The sequence below is a fragment of the Homo sapiens genome, chromosome 1 (assembly GCF_000001405.40).
Source record: "Homo sapiens chromosome 1, GRCh38.p14 Primary Assembly".
NCBI classification, from domain to species: domain Eukaryota; kingdom Metazoa; phylum Chordata; class Mammalia; order Primates; family Hominidae; genus Homo; species Homo sapiens.
In genome coordinates this window covers 247,006,690-247,029,622 of record NC_000001.11, presented here as the reverse complement: position 1 = coordinate 247,029,622, position 22,933 = coordinate 247,006,690, and the positions used below count along the sequence as shown (strand labels likewise).

Here is a 22,933-nt window from a genome sequence, read left to right as displayed (position 1 = left end):
CAGCTTTGTCATGGTGAGCTACTTCTCGCAGGAGTCAGGATCCACATCTGCAGACTATACGAAGACAAGCAACACAGATTAAAAGCACAATCATCATTGAAATCACAGAGATTCCAAGTGTTTTTATCCATTTTAATGGGTTACTAGCTGCTAATTTGTCTGCAGCTCCTTCAAGCACTCCAGTTCCTGGCATTAAGGTCAGATGTGCCTGGGATGCTTTAAATATTTGTTCTTTTAATTTTGTGATATCCAAAAACAAGTTTGTAGAGTGTCCTTCTAGATGCTTTTTTATTCTTTCCCAAATTTTTATCTTATTAAGAGCATTTAAAAGTTTCCACAAATCCTTATGTTTAGCTCCTACAACGGGCCATATCATTTGAGGTTGAGATGCCATTATACCGCCATGATTCCAGATAATAGGAACTCTTGCTATACTTCTTATCATTTCTGCCATCTGACCATTTTGTTCAGACCAGCTGAACATAATGTGGCCATGGCACGCAGACTGAGAGGTGCAATTTAAGCTAAACATCCCCTTAGGGGACAATCAATAATGATTCCATAGGAATTGTTGTGCAGCACCTCTGCCTCTTCTGCAATGCAATCTTCCTAAACAAGTACATTCTTTTTTTCTGGCCAGGTTCAATTTTGTTTACAAATAGGTTTTTGAGGGCAGTATGCCTCAATTATAGGAGCAAATTTATTATGGTAAAAACTGAGATCAGAAAACATGTGTAACTGTGTCATAGTGATTACATCCAGGCATTATTACCAGCCAAGATTGATAAATATGCCCAGTAAGTGTAATTGTTCTCTGTGTCAGCCCTTGTTGAAGGAATACTCACAGCAGTGGTGATAACCACTATCATAGCTACCATTAAATTACTCATTGTGACTGGTTGTCCCGCTTTCCTCAGGTTTTCTTCCGCCATCTGTGACAGCTTCTTGATCTGTCCCCAGTTGGGTGGCTGTGTTCAACAGGTGTTGCTCGTGACAGGTGGGGTCCTCCTCAGCATCAGTCTCGACATGGCTGCAACCAGGGGGGTCCTCGGGATCATCCCGGAATCTCTTCCTCTGCATCTGGCTCATGATAAAGTTTCAGGTGTCTTCGTGGTATCCAAATAGGCTGTTGATTTTGGCCTGGAGAAACACAAGCATAACCTCTACCCCAAGTTATTATTTTACCTATTTCCCAACTTTTTGTTATTGGATCTCTCCACCAAATCAGTTGTTCTGTTTCTGTCTTTGCAGGTGGTTTCTGTAGATGCTGTTCGGCTGCTGATAACATCTGGCCTTTGGGCAGGGTCAAAAAATTTAAAGTTAATAATGCTAGGTTCAGATGGATCTGTGGGGTTCCATATTCTCTGTCTCCCCCTTTCTGCTTTTGCAACTGCTCTTTTAGGGAGAGATTTATTCTTTCCACTATGGCTTGTCCTTGAGAATTGTATGGGATACCATTAATGTGTTCAATATTCCACATAGAGAAAAATGTAGCTAGATCTTGGCTAGTATAGCCTGGGGCATTATCTGTTTTAATAGAAGCTGGAATGCCCATCACCGCAAAACACTGCAAAAGATGACGTTTAACACCGGCAGAAGACTCTCCTGATTGGCATGTAGCCCAGACAAAGTGAGAAAAGGTGTCCACACATACATGTACATAAGCTAGTCTCCCAAACGAGGGAACATGTGTGACATCCATTTGCCAAAGAGAGTTAGGTTCCAATCCTCGAGGATTAACTCCTCATGTAAAAGATGAGGAATGTGCCATTTGGCAAGTTGGGCATCTCTGGATAATAGCTTTAGCTTCTTTCCAGGTAATACTGTATCTGCGTTTGAGACCAGAGGCATTAACATGGGTTAAATTGTGAAAGTGTCTAGCATTAGATATTGCAGTAGCAACTAGGCGATCAGCCATTTGATTCCCTTCGGTCAAAGGTCCTGGAAGAGGTGTATGAGCCCTAATGTGAGTTGATGTAAAAAGGATGCTTTGTACTTCTAACTGCTGTTTGCAGTTGGGTAAATAAAGTCATCAGTTGTTCATCTTTTTGAAATCGTAACTGAGCATTTTCAATTAACTGTGTGGAATGAACCACATGTGAGGAATCAGAAACCACATTAATAGGCATATCAAAATCAGTCAATACCTCAGTTACAGCTACAAGCTCCGCTTTTTGAGCTGAAGTGTAGGGCATCTGAAAAACTTTACTTTTCAAGCCAGAATAAGAAGCTTTACCATTACTAGACCCATCTGTAAAACAATGAAAACACTTAGCAGGCTGCAGGTTGTTTACTGCAGGAATTGTAAATGCAAACCATTCACAGTCTTGCTCAGCTAAGGGGATAGTAAAGAAACAGTCTTTTAAATCTATGACTATTAAAGGCCAATTTTTTGGAATTATAGCAGGAGAAGGCAATTCTGGCTGTAATGCTCCCATAGGTTGTATAACTGAATTGATGGCTCTTAAATCAGTTAACATTCTCCATTTACCTGATTTTTTCTTAATTACGAAAACTGGAGAATTCCAAGGGGAAAATGTTGGAGCTATGTGCCCATTTTTGAATTGTTCAGTAACTAATTTCTCTAAAGCCTCCAGTTTCTCTTAGCGGCCATTGTTCTGTCCAAATTGGCTTATCTGTTAACCATTTTAAAGGTATAGGTTCTGGAGGCTTAACAATGGCTGCCATCAAAAATGACATCCCAATCTTTGGCGGGAACTTTTTAAACCTTGCAAATTTTTTTCTAGTCCTGTACCAGGGACATACCCCATTTCATGCATCATATGTTGACTTTGAGGGCTATATAATTGTTCTGGAATTATAATTTGTGCTCCCCATTGTTGTAATAAATCTCTTCTGCATAAACTTATAGGTACAGAAGTTATAATTGGTTGAATAGTCCCAGGTTTTCCATCGGGCCCTTCACAATGCAAAATATAGCTACTTTGATATACTTCAGGGGCTTTACCAACTCCAACTATGTTAAATTGAGCAGGTTGAATTGGCCACGCGGATGGCCAGTGCTGTAGAGAAATGATTGAAATGTCCGCTCCTGTATCTACCAAACCTTTAAATTTCTCTCCCTGAATAGTTATTTCACAGGTAGGATGTTTATCAGTAATTTGATTCACACAATAAGCTGCTTTGCCTTGTTTATTTGTGGTTCCAAATCCTCCTGTTCGTTTAGTTTCACTTTTCCCCATTTCCACATATGGCACAATCAGGAGCTGTGCTATGCGCTCTCCTGGCTCTGCCTTCCAGGGAACAGAAGTAGATATAACAATTTGAATTTCCCCATTGTAATCTGAATCAATGACTCCTGTATGTATTTGTACGCCTTTTAAACTTAAACTACACCTTCCTAAAAGTAATCCTATTGTCCCCGCTGGCAAGGGTCCACAGACTCCTGTTGGGACCTTTTGCAGGGGTTCTCCAGGCAGAAGGCTCACAGCTTTTGTGCAGCATAAATCTACTGTGGCACTACTGGCTGTGGCGGGGGACAGACGTTGTACAGGGGTGAGGGAATGGCCTGAGCTGGAAATGCCCTGGTTTAGAACGGGTCCCGGGACGGGCCCCTCATGGTGTTTCCCGAAATTGGGTTCCCATCTTTATCAAACTTAGAGTGACACTGACTAGCCCAGTGTTTTTCTTTTTACATTTTGGACATATTTCAGGCTCAACAGTTTTCTTCTTTCCCCTATCTGGCGGCCTGACTCGCTGATTTTTTCTACATTCTTTTTCAGTATGACCATGCTTCCTACAGTTAAAACAAGCTCCAGGAAATGGAGTATTTCCTTTATCCACTATCAGTCCTGCTATTGCCTGTGCCAACAAAGTAGCTTTATGCAGATTACCTCTGATACCATCACAGGCCTTGATATAATCAACTAAATATGCTTTCCCCAATTTAAAAGGAAAAGGCTCAAATGTAGCTATAATATTTCCCTGTTGATCTGGGGGGTGTATTCTAACAGGGAACTGCCAAGCCTCTAAATCACCCTCTTGTCTAGCTTGCTGAATTCCTGCCTGAATAGAACTAAGAGGGGTTGCTCAAGGCGCTGCTCGAACAGTCACTGGGGCAACTACTTTTTGCCCAGTGTCCTCCAGAAAAGAAAGATCTGGAGGGTCATTTTCTTCAAGATAATAAGGAGGGGGTTCAGAAGGGTAGGGATGAACCTCTCCTTCCTTTGCCGCTTTAGCTTTAGCTGGTAAATAAACATGCTCTGTACCCTCTTCTGTTACTTTGCTGTACTCTCCTTCCTCCTCATCATCAGTGTGAAAAAGCTCCAAGGTGGAAGGAACCAGAGCCCACACTTGTCCCATTGTTACCCTGATGCTTCCGAGCTCCCCTTCTTACTTACCACGGGGATTGCTTTAAGAGTACTCTGGCGTCCTCCAGCTAGTTCCACATTCTCTAACTGTTGCTCTGGTGACCCTTCGACCTGGATTCAAGCCCCCACAATGGACGTCACTTGCGGAGACCAGCTTGGTTGGGGAGATCCTAACCCAGCAGTGCTAGAGGAATTAAAGACACACACACAGAAATACAGAGGTGTGAAGTGGGAAATCGGGGTCTCACAGCCTTCAGAGCTGAGAGCCCCGAACAAAGATTTATCCATGTATTTATTAACAGCAAGCCAGTCATTAGCATTGTTTCTATAGATATTAAATTAACTGAAAGTATCCCTTATGGGAAACGAAGGGATGGGCCTAATTAAAGGAATAGGTTGGGCTAGTTAACTGCAGCAGGAACATGTCCTTAAGGCACAGATTGCTCATGCTATTGTTTGTGGCTTAAGAATGCCTTTAAGTGGTTTTCCGCCCTGGGTGGGCCAGGTGTTCCTTGCCCTCATTCCTGTAAACCCACAACCTTCCAGCGCAGGTGTTAGGGCCATTATGAACATGTCAGAGTGCTGCAGAGATTCTGTTTATGGCCAGATTTTGGAGGGCTTGCTCCCAACACAGCAGCATTCACTGATACGTAAAGATCTATGGGATTAATAGAACAAATTTGCCAAATGTATTTCCAATGGATGTATCATCTAATTGATGATGCTAATTATGCACCCAGAGGGTATAAAGCGTTTATTACCTTCATAAATGACATCTTTAGAGACCAGGTCAGGCCCCTCAGGTAGGTGCAAAGTGGCTTGAGAGAGTTAAAAAAGAAAAAAGAAATTGACCTGTATTTTAATTTTTAGAGGTTTATTGTTTGGGGCCATGGTGAGAGTTTGTATTTACATAAGCCCCAGCAGGAGATCGTGCAGTTCGATTTTCATGCTGGCACCAAATAAGGGAGCACCTGGGCTTTCTTACTGCCTTTTCTAGAAGTGAGTCATAAGGGCAAAAATAAGATATTAGGCACCAAACGTGTCAGCAGTGAAACCTCAGAACATAAAATCAGAGACCTTCAGTTTCTGGTCTACCATGTAAAGAATGTAGAGGCCATTATTCCCACTTCTGCATGAAAAATTCTGGGGGACCAGGCCAAGATGGCTGACTAGAAGCAGGGGCGCTGGGAGGCTCTCATTGTGAAAAAACATGATAAACTGCCAGGCGTGGTGGCTCACGCCTGTAATCCCAGCATTTTGGGAGGCTGAGGCAGGTGGATCACGAGGTCAGGAGATTGAGACCATCCTAGCTAACATGGTGAAACCCTGTCTCTACTAAAAATACAAAAAAATTAGCCAGGTGTGGTGGCAGTCGCCTGTCATCCCAGCTACTTGGGGGGCTGAGGCAGGAGAATGGTGTGAACCCAGGAGGCCAAGCTTGCAGTGAGCCGAGATCGCACCACTGCACTCCATCCTGGGCGACAGAGCAAGACTCCATCTCAAAAAAAAAAAAAGAAAAAAATGCAAAATAATCTGTAAATACAGAAAGCAGATCAGGGATAACAGGGGGTAGGGGAAAGAGTTTAGGGGAGGTTTCTGGGAAGAAGGGATCACAGGAAACTTTCAGGAGATGATATTTATCAACGTGACTGTGGCAATGGTTTCATGGGTGTACACATGTCAAATCTTATCAAATTGCATACTTTAACTGTGTAGTTTACTGTGTGTCAATTATACCTCAATAAAGCTGTTTTGAAAGGAAAAGGAAAGGAGCAATAACTTTTTAGAATTGGCTTCAATAGAGTTCTTCGATTGAGAAGAAAAAATGGAATGTATTAAATAAAATGTAACACTCACTGTGGAATTATTCACATCTTTGGATAAATTTCTGAACACCATTAAATTTCATGAAAAAACATTCTTAAAATTCATAAGTGTATCATATACACAATATTTCATAAGTGCGGGAATAAGTAAATCATGTCATAGTTCTTGCATGAGTAAAAAGCAGAAAAAAAAATAGTATTTGAAGGAAGAGATTCTGGACCAGGAGCCATGATATTCTGATAAATGAATTCAGTGTGGAGAAAATAGGTTTGCTAGCCAGGCGCGGTAGCTCACACCTTTAATCCCAGAACTTTGGGAGGCCGAGGTGGCAGATCACTTGAGGTCAGCAGTTCAAGACCAACCTGGCTAACATAGGGAAACCCCGTCTCTACTAAAAATACAAAAATTAGCTGGGCGTGATGGTGGGCGCCTGTAACCCCAGCTACTCGGGAGGCTGAGGCAGGAGAATTGCTTAAACCCGGGAGGTGGAGGTTGCAGTTAGCTGAGATCGAATCACTGCACTCCAGCCTGGGCAACAGAGCAAGACACTGTTTCAAAAAAAAAAAAAAAGATGTGCTTTACAGAATCTGTGAGGTTTCCAGTTTGTTAGCATACCTTCAACTGTTTTTTTTCTGAAATTATCTGTTTTGTTCTAATATTTTCCTTTTCTAATAAATACAGGCATTCTATCTTTCCCTCTCTCTCCCACCTCTCTCTCACACACACACTCCATAGTTCTCATGCTCCTAAAATTTATCTTTGGATTGATATAATTGTATATTTGTCAATGTAAATCAAAACCCAAAATATGCATGTGTTTTGTGGGCCTAGAAGTGTGGCTTGTGAAAAAAAATGATGGTAAAATTCAAGATTAGGAAAGGTACAGTTTATTATTAAACTCCTATAAAATCTTTTTTTTTTTTTGAGACAGAGTCTCACTCTGTCACCCACACTGGAGTGCAGTGGCTTGATCTCGGCTCACTGCAACCTGCTTCCCAGGTTCAAGTAATTCTCCTGCCACAGCCTCCCAAGTAGCTGGGACTACAGGTGCACACCACCGCCCCCAGCTAATTTTCATATTTTTAGAGACAGGGTTTCACCATGTTGGCCAGGCTGTTCTCGAACTCCTGATCTCATGATCCACCTGCCTTGGCTTCCCAAAGTGCTGGGATTACAGGCGTGAGTCACTGCTCTTGGCCCTAAAGTGTTTATTATAACCATCGTAATATCTCAGTAGTCACACAAGTAAAGAATAAAAATATAACATACGGGATCAATATTCTCCACACTCTCTGGAGTGTAATGCCACTGGGAATAAGGATTGCTAGAGATGATTGGCATGTATTACCCAATAGTACAGTATTACCGTCTGCTACCTAGGACCTTGAGCAAGGTGGAATACGCTAACATTTTTCGTAAGATAACACGTCAGTCAATATACAACAGTGTTAACATGATAAAAAACCATTTTGTTTCCTTTATTAAAACAAATTAAGTTTACAAACAGACTGAAAAAAGCATTTCAAAATCCACTGTTTTCCCAATGGCCAAAATACAGATTACTCTCAAGAAGCATTCTTGTTCTTCGGATACCATGATCTATGTAAAAAATATGCCTCCGGCCGGGTGTGGTGGCTCACACCTGTAATCCCAGCACTTTGGGAGGCTGAGGCAGGTGGATCACCTGAGGTCAGGAGTTCAAGACCAGCCTGTCTCTACTAAAAATAGAAAAAAAATTAGCCAGGCATGGTGGCAGGGACCTGTAATCCCAGCTACTCTGGAGGCTGAAGTAGGAGAATCGCTTGAACCCGGGAGGCGGAGGTTGCAGTGAGCTGAGAGCGCCATTTCACTCCAGCCTGGGCAACAGGAACGAAACTCCATCTCAAACAAAACAAAACAAAACAAAACAAAACAAAACAAAATGCTTCCTTTATTTTTTAAACTGAGGCTAAGTGTTTAGAAAATTGAATTCAAAATAAATTTATTTCCCACCAGAGAGGAGTTATCTGCACTTTTTGAGAAAGGTTCTTGCCCCATCACCGAGGCTGGAGTGCAGTGGTGTGTTCATGGCTCACTGCAGCCTCTACCTCCTGGGCTCAAGAAATCTTTTCACCTCTCCTGAGTAGCAGGGACCACAGGGACATGCCACCATGCCTAGCTAATTTTTAAATTTTTTGTAGAGATGAGATCTCACTATATTGCCCAGGCTGGTCTTGAACTCCGGGGCTCAAACAATCCTCCTGCTTAGGCCTCCCAAAGTGTTGGGATTACAGGTGTGAGGCCACCATGCCTGACCTATCTGCACTTTCATCTCTTATCTGTGAAGATTTCTTTCTTGCTACCATACCAATCAATATTCAGGAGTTCTAACTATTGCTACTATGAAGATATATCAGAATATTGATGGACTAAGCAGACTTTTCTCGCTCTCTTTTTTTTTTTTTTGTCTTTTTGGGAGCGGGGACGGAATTTCACTCTTGTTGCCCAGGCTGGAGTGCAATGGCGTGATCTTGTCTCACTGCAACCTCCGCCTACTGGGCTCAAGTGATTCTCCTACCTCAGCCTCCCAAGTAGCTGGGATTACAGGCATGCGCCACCACGCCCAGCTAATTTTGTATTTTTAGTAGAGATGGGGTTTCTCCATGTTGGTCAGGCTGGTCTTGAACTCCCGACCTCAGGTGATCTGCCCACCTTGGCCTCCCAAAGTGCTGGGATTACAGGCGTGAGCCACGACACCCGGCCCAGACTTTTCTCTTTAATGAGTAATTGGTAAAACTATTCACTTCTGAAACTCAGAGTGTCCCTGTCTCATACTTTAATACAGAAGAACGAACACCACTAACGTGTGACTTAATACACTGTCACACAATGAGAACACATGGACACAGGGAGGGGAGAAATGCACACTGGAGCCTGTTGGGGGGTGGAGAGAGGGAGAACATCAGGATAAATAGCTAATGCATGCGGGGCTTAATACCTAGGTGATGGGGTGATAGGTGCAGCAAACCACCATGGCACACGTTTACCTATGGAACAAACCTACACGACCTGCATATGTATCCAGAGCTTAAATTGAATTAAATTAAATTTTAGTTTGAAGTCAGGTAGCATGATGCCTCCAGCTTTGTTCTTTTTGCTTAGGATTGTCTTGGCAATGTGGGCTCTTTTTTGGTTCCATATGAAATTTAAAGTAGTTTTTTCTAGTTCTGTGAAGAAAGTCAGTGGTAGCTCGATGGGGATAGCATTGAATCTATAAATTACACGGGGCAGCATGGCCATTTTCACGATATGGATTCTTCTTATCCATGAGCATGAAATGTTTTTCCATTTGATTTTGTCCTTTCTAATGTCCTTGAGCAGTGGTTTGTAGTTCTCCTTGAAGAGGTCCTTCATCTCCCTTGTAAATCGTATTCCTAGTTATTTCATTCTCTTTGTAGCAATTGTGAATGGGAGTTCACTCATGATTTGGCTGCTTGTCTATGATTGGTGTATAGGGATGCTTGTGATTTTTGCACATTGATTTTGTATCCTGAGACTTTGCTGAAGTTGCTTATCAGCCTAAGGAGTTTTGGGGCTGAAACGATGGTTTGTTTTTTTTTGGTTTTTTTTGTTTTTTTTTTTTGAGATGGAGTCTCCCTCTGTCGCCCAGGCTGGAGTGCAGTGGCACGATCCCAGCTCACTGCAAGCTCCGCCTCCTGGGTTCACGCCATTCTCCTGCCTCAGCCTCCTGAGTAGCTGGGACTACAGGCGCCCACCACCATGCCTGGCTAATTTTTTGTATTTTTGGTAGAGACAGGGTTTCACCGTGTTAGCCAGGATGGTCTCGATCTCCTGACCTCATGATCCACCCACCTCAGCCTCCCAAAGTGCTGAGATTATAAGCCTGAGCCATGGTGCCCGGCCTGGGGTTTTCTAAATATAGAATCATGTCATCTGCAAACAGAGACAATTCGACTTCCTATCTTCCTATTTAAATACCTTTATTTCTTTCTCTTGCCTGATTGCCCTGGTCAGAACTTCCAACACTATGTTGAATAGGAGTGGCTAGAGAGGGCATCCCTATCTTGTACCAGTTTTCAAAGGGAATGCTTCCAGCTTTTGCCCATTCTGTATGATATTGGCTGTGGGTTTGTCATAAATAGCTCTTACTATTTTGAGATATGTTCCATCGATGCCTAGTTTATTGAGAGTTCTTAGCATGAAGGGCTGTTGAATTTTATCGAAGGCCGTTTCTGCATCTATTGAGATAATCATGTGGTTTTTGTCATCCGTTCTGTTTATGTGATGGATTACATTTATTGATTTGCATATGTTGAACCAGCCTTGCATCCCAGGGATGAAGCCGGCTTGATCGTGGTGGATCAGCTTTTTGATGTGCTGCTGGATTCAGTTTGCCAGTATTTTATCGAGGATTTTCGCATCGATGTTTATCAGGGATATTGGCCTGAAATTTTCTTTTTCTGTTGTGTCTCTGCCAGGTTTTGGTATCAGGATGACGCTGGCCTCATAAAATGAGTTAGGGAGGAGTCCCTCTTTTTCTATTGTTTGGAATAGTTTCAGAAGGAATGGTACCAGCTCCTCTTTGTACCTCTGGTGGAATTCGGCTGTGAATTTGTCTGGTCCTGGGCTTTTTTTAGGTGGTAGGCTATTAATTACTGCCTCTATTTCAGAACTTGTTATTGGTCTGTTCAGGGATTCGACTTCTTCCTAGTTTAGTCTTGGGAGGGTGTATTTGTCCAGGAATTTATCCATTTCTTCTAGATTTTCTAGTTTATTTGCGAAGAGGTGTTTATAGTATTCTCTGATGGTACTTTGTATTTCTATGGGATCAGTGATGATATCCCCTTTTTCGTTTTTTATTGTGTCTATTTATTCTTCTCTCTTTTCTTCTTTATTAGTCTGGCTAATTAGGTCTCTTTGTTTTGTTAATCTTTTCAAAAAACCAGCTCCTGGATTCACTGATTTTTTTGAAGGGTTTTTTCATGTCTCTATTTCCTTCAGTTCTGCTCTGATCTTAGTTATTTCTTGCCTTCTGCTAGCTTTTAAATGTGTTTGCTCTTGCTTCTCTAGTTATTTTAATTGTGATGTTAGGGTGTCAATTTTAGATCTTTCCCGCTTTCTTCTGTGGGCATTTAGTGCTATAAATTTTCCTCTAAACACTACTTTAGCTGTGTCCCAGAGATTCTGGTACATTGTATCTTTGTTCTCATTGGTTTCAAAGAACTTATTTATTTCTGCCTTAATTTCGTTATTTACCCAGTAGTGATTCAGGAGCAGGTTGTTCAATTTCCGTGTAGTTGGGCGGTTTTGAGTGAGTTTCTTAATCCTGAGTTCTAATTTGATCGCACTGTGGTCTGAGGGACTGTTTGTTATGATTTCCCTTCTTTTGCATTTGCTGAGGAGTGTTTTAAATTAAATTTTTTAAAAAACAGTTATAAGTCAAACAAAAGGAACCCCTACATCTAGATTTTCCTCATGCATGCCCTTTCAGTGCCCTCAGTCTTCCATTTTTGTGAGTTTATGTGAATGATGCCCACATAATATATACCTCATAGCTTGGAGGTAACAACAATTGACCACATGCTTTTACATACAAAGTAGGAATAAAGAATAGCATTGAATAATTTGAGGGTTGAATTACATAAATAATAATTTTTCAGGCCAGATGCAGTGGCTTAACACCTATAATCTCAGCACTTTGGGAGGCCAAGGCAGGAGGATCCCTTGATTCCAAGAGTTCAAGACTAGCCTGAGCAACATAGTGAGACCCTCATCTCTAAAAAAATATATAAAAATTAACCAGACATGGTGGTGCACACCTGTAGTCTCAGCTGCTCAGGAGGCTGAGGAGGGAGAATCACTTGAACCCAAGAGGTTGTGGCTGCAGTGAGCCATGATATTGCCACTGCACTCCAACCTGGATGACAGAGTGAGATCCTGTCTCAAAAAATAAAAAATAAAATCATATTTGCTCACACAATCTTAAATACTGTCATTACCAGAAACAAGTATACAGTAAATAGAATTATACCTACTGATCCATCAATCTCTCTTCTTTGAAACGTGAAATTAAATTGTCTAATTGTTTTGACTGGGTTATTCCCTATAATAAAGTCTGTGATTTAGAGTGATGTCAGAAGTGTTAGTACCTCAGTTCTTTCTAGGGCGAGTCCTCTGATTTTCATTTAGACTTGATTTTTCATTAAGTGCTTTCTCACACTTACTGCACCTATAATGTTTCTTTCCAGCATACACTCTCTGGTGCTTTCTAAGTTGTATATTTTGGACAAAGGTCCTTCCACATTTATTACATTTGTAGAGGTTCTCTCCTATAGAAATTCTCTGTTGAGCAAAATTTAAGCATCAGTTAAAGGTTTTGCTAACTGTTTTACATTGGTACAATTTCCCTCCAGGGTAAATACTGTGGTGTTCTCTGAAGTGTATATTTTGCACAAAAGTCTTTCCAAAATTATTACATTTGTAGGGTTTCTATCCAGTACCAATCCTTTAATTTTTAGTAAGGTGTGAACACCTATTAAAGGCTTTGCCGTATTCTTTCCATTTCAAAGGTTTCTCTACAGTATGGATTCCCTGATGTGTAAGGATTGAGTAGTAGTTAATGGGTTTACCATTCTTTACATTTTATACTTCTCTCCAATATAGATTTCCTTATGTCTATTTAGATGTGATGATTGACTAAAGACTCTTCTACCTTTATTTCATGTGGGAAAAAGCAAGAGAGATCAGATTGCTACTGTGTCTGTGTAGAAAGAAGTAGACATGGGAGACTCCATTTTGTTATGTACTAAGAAAAATTCTTCTGCCTTGAGATTCTGTGACCTTACCCCCAACCCCGTGCTCTCTGAAACATGTGCTGTGTCAACTCAGGGTTAAATGGATTAAGGGCGGTGCAAGATGTGCTTTGTTAAACAGATGCTTGAAGGCAGCATGCTCCTTAAGAGTCACCACCACTCCCTAATCTCAAGTACCCAGGGACACAAACACTGCGGAAGGCTGCAGGGACCTCTGCCTAGGAAAGCCAGGTATTGTCCAAGGTTTCTCCCCATGTGACAGTCTGAAATATGGCCTCGTGGGAAGGGAAAGACCTGACCGTCCCCCAGCCCGACACCCGTAAAGGGTCTGTGCTGAGGAGGATTAGTATAAGAGGAAGGCATGCCTCTTGCAGTTGAGACAAGAGGAAGGCATCTGTCTCCTGCCCGTCCCTGGGCAATGGAATGTCTCGGTATAAAACCCGATTGTACGTTCCATCTACTGAGATAGGGAAAAACCGCCTTAGGGCTGGAGGTGGGACATGCGGGCAGCAATACTGCTTTGTAAAGCATTGAGATGTTTATGTGTATGCATATCTAAAAGCACAGAACTTAATCCTTTACCTTGTCTATGATGCAAAGACCTTTGTTCACATGTTTGTCTGCTGACCCTCTCCCCACTATTGTCTTGTGACCCTGACACATCCCCCTCTCAGAGAAACACCCAGGAATGATCAATAAATACTAAGGGAACTCAGAGGCTGGCGGGATCCTCCATATGCTGAACGCTGGTTCCCCGGGTCCCATTATTTCTTTCTCTATACTTTGTCTCTGTGTCTTTTTCTTTTCCAAGTCTCTCGTTCCACCTTACGAGAAACACCCACAGGTGTGGAGGGGCAACCCACCCCTTCAATTACATCTGTGTGAATTTTTTCCAGTGAGAATTATCTGATGCTGAGTAAGCAGTGAGAACTAGTTAGAATTTTCCCACATTTCTTACATCTGTAAGGCTTCTCTTGAGTATGGATACTCTGATGGATGGTAAGTTTTGGGGAATGTTAAAATACTTTCCTTTATTTATTACATTTCTAATGATTATCTGGAAAATAAGTACTCTGATGTTTACTGGAATTTGAGTGATGGTTAAAGTTTTTCTGAGTTTCATTACAAAAGGTTTATTTCAAAAATCGATGTTGATATTTACTTATAGAAACATGTTTCTATATAGAAGCAGCTGATGTAAGTTGAGGTTTCTTCTGAGATGTTCTATGTTCTTGGTCTCCTGTGGCAGGTAAATTTCTGTTATGAGTAGTTGTTGCCCATTGGTGATGCACATTATAACGTTCTTTTTGGCCTTTACCTCCACCCACATCTTCACACTTTTTCCTTAAGTGTAAATTCTCAAAGTCACAGCTTTCATCACTTCCCATTATTACTTTTCAAAATAAAATATCTGTGCTCTGCTTTGGTGAAAGGCCTTGGTTGTAATGAGATGACAGAGCTGAAAGAAATTAACATAACAGATTATCTTACTGGATTTTGTAGAATATACCTTATGAATCTAATATAAAATTATACCAGGCTGAAGACATGAGCATGATGGCAAAATTTTTAAAAATTCAAAGCAACCGGCTGGGTGCAGTGGCTCACACCTATAATCCCAGCACTTTGGGAGGCTGAGGCCGGCAGATCACCTGAGGTCAGGAGATCGAGACAAGCCTGGCCAATATGGCGAAACCCCATCTCTACTAAAAATACAAACATTAGCCAGGCATGATGGCGCATGCCTATAATCCTAGCTACTCAGGAGGCTGAGGCAGGAGAATCGCTTGAACCTGGGAAGCAGTGGTTGCAGTGAGCCAAGATTGGGCCACTGCACTCCAGCCTGGGCGACAGGGTGAGACTTCGTGTCAAAAAATAAATTAATTAATTAAAAATAAACTGTTAAGCCACAAAACAAGTTTTTACAGGTTTTAAAAAGTGGGACTCTTACAAAGTATGATTTCAGATAGAAGTTAAATAAAACTAGAAACCAAAAGCACAAATAATTCTGAAAAATTCAAATATGTAACAATTAAACAACAAACTCTTGAACATGCTCTCATTTAAGGGATAAAAGACTTAACAGTGTGAAGATGGCCATATTCGGCCCAAAGTGATCTACAGATCCAATGCAATCTCTATCAAAGTTTCCAATGTCATGTTTTGCATAAATATAAAGAGCAATTCTAAAAACCATATGAAATTTAAGGAACCAGAAGAGCCCAAGAGTTGTCAAAAAGAGAAAAACACTGGAGACATCATGCTTTGATTTTAAAACAGATTATAAAGCTATAGTAATCAAAATAGTCTGGTACTGGAATAAAGGAAGACAAATACAACAATGAAACAGAATAGAGCACAGAAACAAGCCCTTGCATACATGGTCATATTAAGTGTTATTTGCACATCCATATTCACTGCAGCATTTTTCACAAAAGCTAAAAGTGGAAGGCATCCAAATTCCCTCAATGAAAGAATGGATAAGGACAATTTGAAAAACACAAATAACTGAATATTATTCAGCTTTTAAAAGCTGAAATTTTGTTATATTGACAATAGGGATAAATCGAGGACACTATGGTAAGTGAAATAACCAAGTGACAAAAAAGATACTGGGCCAGGTGCAGTGGCTCACGCCTGTAATCCCAGCATTTTGGTTGGCTGAGGTGGGCGGATCACTTGAGGTCAGAAGTTTGAGGCCAGCTGGACCAATATGGTGAAACCCCGTCTCTACTAAAAATGCAAAAATTAGCTGGCCATGGTGATGGGCATCTGTAATCCCAGCTACTTGGGAGGCTGAGGCAGGAGAATCGCTTGAACTCAGAGGCAGAGGTTGCAGTGAGACAAGACCATGCACTGCATTCCAGCCTGGGTGACAGAGTGAGACTGTCTCCAAAAAAAAAAAAAAAAAAAAAAAGAGAGAGATACTGTATGATTCCATTTATATGAGATATCTAAAGTAGTCAAACCCCTGGAAAAAGAAAGTAGAATACACTTTGTCAGGAGCTGGGGGTAGGAGAAAATGGATAGTTGTTTCAGGGACAACCTGTTAGAAGACAAAACAACTCATCATTTTTGAGAGGACTGACTCATACACTGTATCTTTTCTGACCACGTGAAATAAAGCTAGAAATGTAAAGTTGAAGCAAAACTGACAAATCTAAAAATACGTGAAAGATAACAACACACTCTTGAATGCTTTTTTTTTTTTTTTTTTTTTTTTTAGATGGAGTCTCGCTCTGTCGCCCAGGCGGGAGTGCGGTGGCGCGATCTCGGCTCACTGCAAGCTCCGCCTCCCGGGTTCACACCATTCTCCTGCCTCAGCCTCCCGAGTAGCTGGGACCACAGGTGCCCACCACTACGCCCGGCTAATTTTTTGTGGTTTCAGTAGAGACGGGGTTTCACCGTGTTCGCCAGGATGGTCTCGATCTCCTGACCTCGTGATCCGCCCGCCTCGGCCTCCCAAAGTGCTGGGATGACAGGCGTGAGCCACCGCGCCCGGCCTGAACAGTCTTCAACAGATGATGTTGGAAAACTGGATATCCACGTGGGAAAAAATGAGACTGGAGACTTACCCTGCATCATATACAAAAGCCATCTTAAATGGATTAGACACTTAAACATAAAAACTGTAACTCTAGGCCGGGCGCGGTGCCTCACGCCTGTAATCCCAGCACTTTGGGAGGCCGAGGCGGGCGGATCACGAGGTCAGGAGATCGAGACCATCCTGGCCAACATGGTGAAACCCCGTCTGTACTAAAAATACAAAAATTAGTGCACACACCTGTAGTCCCACTTACTCGACAGGCTGAGGCAGGAGAATTGCTTGAATCCGTGAGGCGGAGGTTGAAGTGAGCCGAGATCACACCATTGCATTCCAGCCTAGGCGACAGTGAGACTCTGTCTCGAAATACATAAATAAATAAATAGAAAATAAACTGTAACTCTAAAATCCTTAGAAGAAAACATAAGGGGAAAGATGATAACATTGGTCTTCGCAATATTTTCTTGGGTATGACATCAAATATATAAACAACAACAAAAAAGACTAAAAGAATGAACTACATTAAACTTAAAAAACTGCATGTCAAAGGAAACATTCAGTGGAGTCAAAATCCCACCTAAGGAATGAGAGAAAATATTTGAAAAGCAAATATCTGACAGGATATATATAAACAACTACAAAAACTAAACAAAGAAAAAGCAAATAATGCCATTTAAAAGTGGGCAAAAAACTGACCAGTGATATACAAATCCTTAGAAAAATGCAAAGCAGCCAGGCGCAATGGCTCACACCTATAATAAAAATACAAAAATTAGGCCGGGCGCGGTGGTTCACGTCTGTAATCCCAGCACTTTGGGAGGCCGAGGCGGGCAGATCACGAGGTCAGGAGATCGAGACCATCGTGGCTAACATGGTGAAACCCCGTCTCTACTAAAAATACAAAAAATTAGCTGGGCTTGGTGGCGGGCACCTGTAGTCCCAGCTACTGGGGAGGCTGAGGCAGGAGAATGGCGTGAACCCGGGAGGCGGAGCTTTCAGTGAGCCGAGATCGCGCCCCTGCACTCCAGCCTGGGCGACAGAGCGAGACTCCGTCTCAAAAAAAACAAAAACAAAACAAAACAAAACAAAAAAAATTAGTTGGGTGTGTTGGCAGGTAGGTGCCTGTAGTCCCAGCTACTCGGGAGACTGAAGTGGGAGGTTCAGTTGAGCCCAGGAGGTTGAGGCTGCAGTGAGCCAAGATTGCACTACTTCACTCCAGCCTGGGTGAAAGAGTAAGACCCTGCCTCAAAAAAATAAATAAATAAATAAATAAAATAAAAATGTAAAGCAAATCTACCAGATTTCCTTTGCTAACACCCATTACATGGCCACTATCAAGCAAATAAAGAACCCACAAATGGTCTCTAGGATGTGGAGAAACTGAGACCTCTGTGCACTGCTAGTGGGGAAATATTGATCCAGCTACTATAAAAAATAGTACAGAAGTTTCTCTCTCTCTTTTTTTTTTTTTTTCTTTTTGAGACAGAGTTTTGCTCTGTTGCCCAGGCTGGAGTGCAATGGTGTGATCTTGGCTCACTGCAACCTCCGCCTCCCATGTTCAAGTGATTCTCCTGCCTCAGCCTCCCTATAGATGGGATTACAGGCACACGCCACCACACCCGGCTAATTTTTGCATTTTTAGTAGAGACGGGGTTTCGCTATGTTGGCCAGGCTGGTCTCGAACTCCTGACCTCAGGTGATCTGCCCTCCTCGGCCTCCCAAAGTGCTGGGATTACAGGCGTGAGCCACCGCACCCGGCCGTACGGAGGTTTCTCAAACGGAATTATTATATGATATAGCGATTCCACTTCTGGGTGTCTATCCAAAATATGCAAAGCAGGACCTGAAAAACTTACCTGCACACCCATGTTTATTGCAGGAATATTCATGAAAGCGGAAACGTGGACGCAACCCAAGTGTTCTTTGATGAATGAATGCATAAAGAAAATGTGGCATCTGGCCAGGCGCGGTGGCTCACCCCTGTAATCCCAGCACTTTGGGAGGCCGAGGCGGGCCAATCACGAGGTCAGGAGATCGAGACCATCCTGGCTAACACGGTGAAACCCCGTCTCTACTAAAAATACAAAAAATTATCTGGGCATGGTGGCACGCGCCTGTAGTCCCAGCTACTCGGGAGGCTGAGGCAGGAGAATCACTTGAACCCAGGAGGTGGAGGTTGCAGTGAGCTGAGATCACGCCGCTGCACTCCAGCCTGGGCGACAGAGCGTGACTCCATCTCAAAAAAGAGAATAGTAACAACCGATTCAGAAATATGAAACAGATTGAGTATTTTTCCCAAAGAAGACATACAAATGGCCAACAGGCATATAAAAAGGTACTCAACATCACCAGTCATCCCACTAAAAACACACGTCACTCAAATTCTAAAAAGGAATTACATTAAATATAACAAGTATTTGTACAAGAATATTTATAGATCTTTTGTTCATAAAAACCCAAAATAGGAAACAACCCGAATGTCCATCAACAGAAAAATGGTTCAGCAAATTGTAGAGCGGATATTCATACAACAGGATGCTACCCAGCAGTACGAAGACACAAGCCACTGAAGCACACACCCTGACTGCATCTCACAAGCTGGGTATATGAGACAAAGTGGAATAAAATGCATATTGTATGGCTTCAGGCAAAAATGAACCTAGAGTGAAAATAAATCAACACAGCCTCTGAAAGTAGAAAAAAACTGCCTGGGAAGAAATACGAGGAAGTTTTCTGAGAATGATGAAAATATTCCATTCTTAAAAGGGGTGAAGCTTATATGGGTATATTTTATTTTTTAAAAACTGTACATTTAAGATTTGTGCCTTTCAATGTGTGTACATCTGACCTCATGCAAAAAAAAAAGGAACTAAAAAAATACAGCAGTGGGTGCAGAATGGGTTGAAGCATAGATGAAAGAAAAATGGCACAAGATGAGTAGTTCTTGAATCAGGGTGACGGGTCTATTATACTATTTCGTTTATTTTGTATATGGCTAAAATTTTCTGTAATAAAACGCTTGTATGAAAAGGCAAAAGTGATGTACAATGTTAGCTCTTAAGATCTTTAAATGAACCAGTTGTGGTGGTTGTGTGCCTGTAGTCCCAACTACTCAGTTGGCTGAGGTAGGAGGATCGCTAGAGCATCTTCAGCCTGGGTGAAAGGGTTAGACTCTGTCTCAAAAAAAGAAAAAAAAAATCGGCAGGGCACAGTGGCTCACGCCTGTAATCCCAGCACTTTGGGAGGCCAAGGCGGGTGCATCACCTGAGGTCAGGAGTTCGAGACCAGGCTGGCCTATATGGTAAAACCCTGTCTCTACTAAAAATACAAAAATTAGCCGGGTGTGGTGGCAGGCGCCTGTAATCCCAGCTACTCGGGAGGCTGAGGCAGCAGAATCGCTCGATTCCGGGAGGTGGAGGTTGCAGTGAGTCAAGATCGCGCCATTGCACTCCAGCCTGGGGGACAAGAGCGAGACTTCGTCTTAAAATAATAATAATAATAATAATAATAATAATAATAATAATAATCTTACTTACCACTGGGGAGGTAGATAAGGGAGGCAGATAGTAATTGTTGGGATATGAGTGATGCTGGTTCTATTTCTTGGTTATACAACTGTATTTGCTTTGTAATAACTCACAGAGCTTTACATGAATGCTTTGTATTTTTTTGTATGTGTGTTGTGTATCAAAAAAATTATTATATATTTTTACATAAATCCTAACTTAGAATCTCAGAATAACAGTAGTGTTTTATTTTGTTTGAAGTGAGACACACTCACCCATGATACCATCAAATGACTTTAAATATTCTGAGCTATTCATTCATGTTGTAACCTTGGGTGCTCCCCTAGGTCTTTTCAGTTTTACTCCAATTTGGAAAGTGGAATGGTTTCAATCTGGGGGGATGCAACTTTTTCCCAGCAAAGTCCTCTCCCCACAATGATGTTCACCAAGGCCAGGGCAGCTAGTACAGTGCCCTGTGCATAGCAGGGCAGTTGTAGAACTGGGCTGAATCAGAAACAAAATTAGTAGCAACCACTGGTTCAAGGTAAGAGATGCATTAACTGTGCATGAATTCCATATGTGTTGTGAGGGTTTGCCCCATGGCCAGTCCAGGGTTTAGGTCTTAGAAAATAGCTTTGCCCTGTTAAGAACCAAAGAATGACTTCAAGACATACTCAGCTGTTTGGCTAAATTTCTGCAGGAGGAAATGTCTTCACAGCCGATTTTTTTGTTTTGTTTTGTTTTTGTTTTTGAGATGGAGTTTTCCTCTTATTACCCAAGCTGGAGTGCAAAGGCATGATCTCGGCTCACTGTAACCTCCGCTTCCCAGGCTCACGCGAGTCTCCTGCCTCAGTCTCCTGAGTAGCTGGGATTACAGGCGACCACCACCACTCCTGGCTAATTTTTAAAAATACTTTTAGCAGAGACGGGGTTTCGCCATACTGGCCAGGCTGGTCTCAAACTCCTGGCCTCATGTGATCCTCCCTCCTCAGCCTCCCCAAGTGCTGGGATCACAGGCGTAAGCCACCACGACCCGCCAGATCCTAGAAAATTTTAAATGACACGCGTGGCTCACCTTTTATTTATATTGCATATTGCTGCCTGAGAGGATTGCCTCACTTTCCACAGCTCAGGCTGCCTGGTCAAAAGACCAGAGGCCCGGAAGGTTATGAAATCGGAAACTTTAAAATAATTATCATTCATTGTTTCTATTTGTGAAATATATATGTGTGTGTGTGTGTGTGTGTGTGTGTGTGTGTAAAACTTATGAATGGATATAATCTTATATACAAGGTTAAATGCCATTATCCCCCAGGCAGGTGGGTCCAGGTCGAAGTGCCGTGAGGAATGTCGCTTCAAAAGGGCTGCACCCAAAAACCTGTCACTCTTGTTTCATTCGGCCCAGTGTCTGATCGCACCTCCTGTCACTCAAGACCTGAGGGGGTGGGGCCTGGAGCCCCATCCAGTCAGCGGCGCTAGCGTGAGAACTGTCCAATCAGGCGTGCAGCCAGAGAGGAAGGGGCGGCCTTGGGGATCTGGCGGGGCCTTTGTCTCCTTGCGGCCGGCGGGGTGCTGGGTTCCCGTCTGCTGCCTCTCGGAGAGTCCCGGGTGACTGCCGCAGGCTCCATCGCCCTGTGGCCTGCAGGTATTGCGAGATTTATAGGGAGGACGCTGGGACCCCCAAAAGCTGGGAAATGGTGAGTGTGCGGAGCAGGGTGTCCCGAGAAGGGAGAGGGGGTGGTTGGAATCGGTTGGAATTGGCTGGAACCAGCGCTGGCGGCCCCGGGCCTCCCGGCGGTCGGCTCCGGAGTGTGCGGCCGAGTCCCGCTGGCGCAGCTCGGCCCTCAGTCCCGTCCCGCGCAGGTGGGGGCCGGGCCGGCAGCGGGATCCCGGCCGCTGGGTGACTGTCCGGTCTCTGCCTGGTGACTTCGGCACGGCCCAGAGCCCTCCCGGGGCAGCCCCGCGCCCGCAGCGCCGCGTCTTCCCTGGATTGTGCTGTGATGACGGAGGGGTTGTCGGGAGAGTCCCGACTCCCGTGAAAGGTTCCTGGGTGGGAGGAGCTGTGGTCTGTGGGTTCCTTTCTCCTCTTTTTTTTTTTTTTTTTTTTTGAGACGGAGTCTCGCCCTGTCGCCAGGCTGGAGTTCGGTGGCTCGATCTCGGCTCACCGCAACCTCTGCCTCCCAGGTTCAAGCGATTCTCCTGCCTCAGCCTCCCGAGTAGCTGGAATTACAGGCGCCCACCACCACGCCCAGCTAATTTTTGTATTTTTATTAGAAACGGAGATTTCACCATGTTGGTGTCGATCTCTTGACCTCGTGATCCGCCCGCCTCGGCCTCCCAAAGTGCTGGGATTACAGGCGTGAGCCACCGCGCCCGGTCTCCTTTCTCCTCTTAAAAAAATAAACTGAAGCACCTTTGAAATGTTAAGGAGTTTATTCCAGCAAACAGTGATTTATGAATCTGGAAGCCCCTAGCCCTGGTTTGGGGCTAAACTTGAAGGGAAGGTCTTCATAAGGTGCACGAGGAAGCAACCACGTTTAATAATTGATCGGTTGCCATTATGCAGTCACCTTATTTGGACTGTCCAGGATGAAATTTCCTGATTATGTAATAAGAGATTTATTAGCATTTAGTGGTTGGTTAAGCCTACGTTTTGTTTTTCTCCAAGTTTGCAATTTACAAGAAATTCATCTAAGTTAGCTAGGATTCCTTAGATAGAATCCCAGGACATCAAAGCCACTCAGTCTAATTGTCTGCCATTTAAGTATTCTAACACTCCACAGGGGAACTGGTTTTCCCAGCATTTTTCAAATGTATGGCAAGCAGGACCTCAAATCCAGGACTCTGTTCCCCCAGCCTAACTGTTTTAGGGCCTGAAGGAAATCTTGTTTCCAGTTTCTTTTCTACATTCCC

At 43.0% G+C, this 22,933-nt stretch overlaps 1 protein-coding gene, 1 long non-coding RNA gene and 1 pseudogene across 4 annotated transcripts in view, besides 2 other annotated features; 2 read left to right on the top strand and 1 right to left on the bottom strand.

The window, feature by feature from the left end:
• The window catches only part of ZNF670-ZNF695 (ZNF670-ZNF695 readthrough (NMD candidate)), a 133,266-nt gene that overhangs the window by 49,189 nt on the left and 61,144 nt on the right, over window positions 1-22,933 (top strand). The gene's annotated exons all lie outside the window — the stretch shown is intronic.
• On the bottom strand, window positions 12,390-14,433 carry LOC100419806 (zinc finger protein 519 pseudogene; annotated as a pseudogene).
• Window positions 21,314-21,373: a silencer, noted in NCBI's record as "silent region_2041". NCBI's record gives its function as "represses an Ori minimal core promoter by ATAC-STARR-seq in GM12878 lymphoblastoid cells {active_cell/tissue: GM12878}" and the evidence as "EXISTENCE:reporter gene assay evidence [ECO:0000049][PMID:35858748]".
• The window catches only part of ZNF695 (zinc finger protein 695), a 62,512-nt gene continuing 61,144 nt past the window's right edge, over window positions 21,566-22,933 (top strand). For all 3 annotated transcript variants that reach the window (NR_037892.2, NM_001204221.2, NM_020394.5), the window contains exon 1: window positions 21,566-21,717. Coding sequence is in view for 2 of the 3 variants with exons in the window: in NM_001204221.2 (NP_001191150.2) it covers window positions 21,715-21,717 (3 nt within the window). In the remaining variant the exon portion in view is untranslated. The remainder of the gene's footprint in view (window positions 21,718-22,933) is intronic.
• Window positions 21,874-21,973: a silencer, noted in NCBI's record as "silent region_2040". NCBI's record gives its function as "represses an Ori minimal core promoter by ATAC-STARR-seq in GM12878 lymphoblastoid cells {active_cell/tissue: GM12878}" and the evidence as "EXISTENCE:reporter gene assay evidence [ECO:0000049][PMID:35858748]".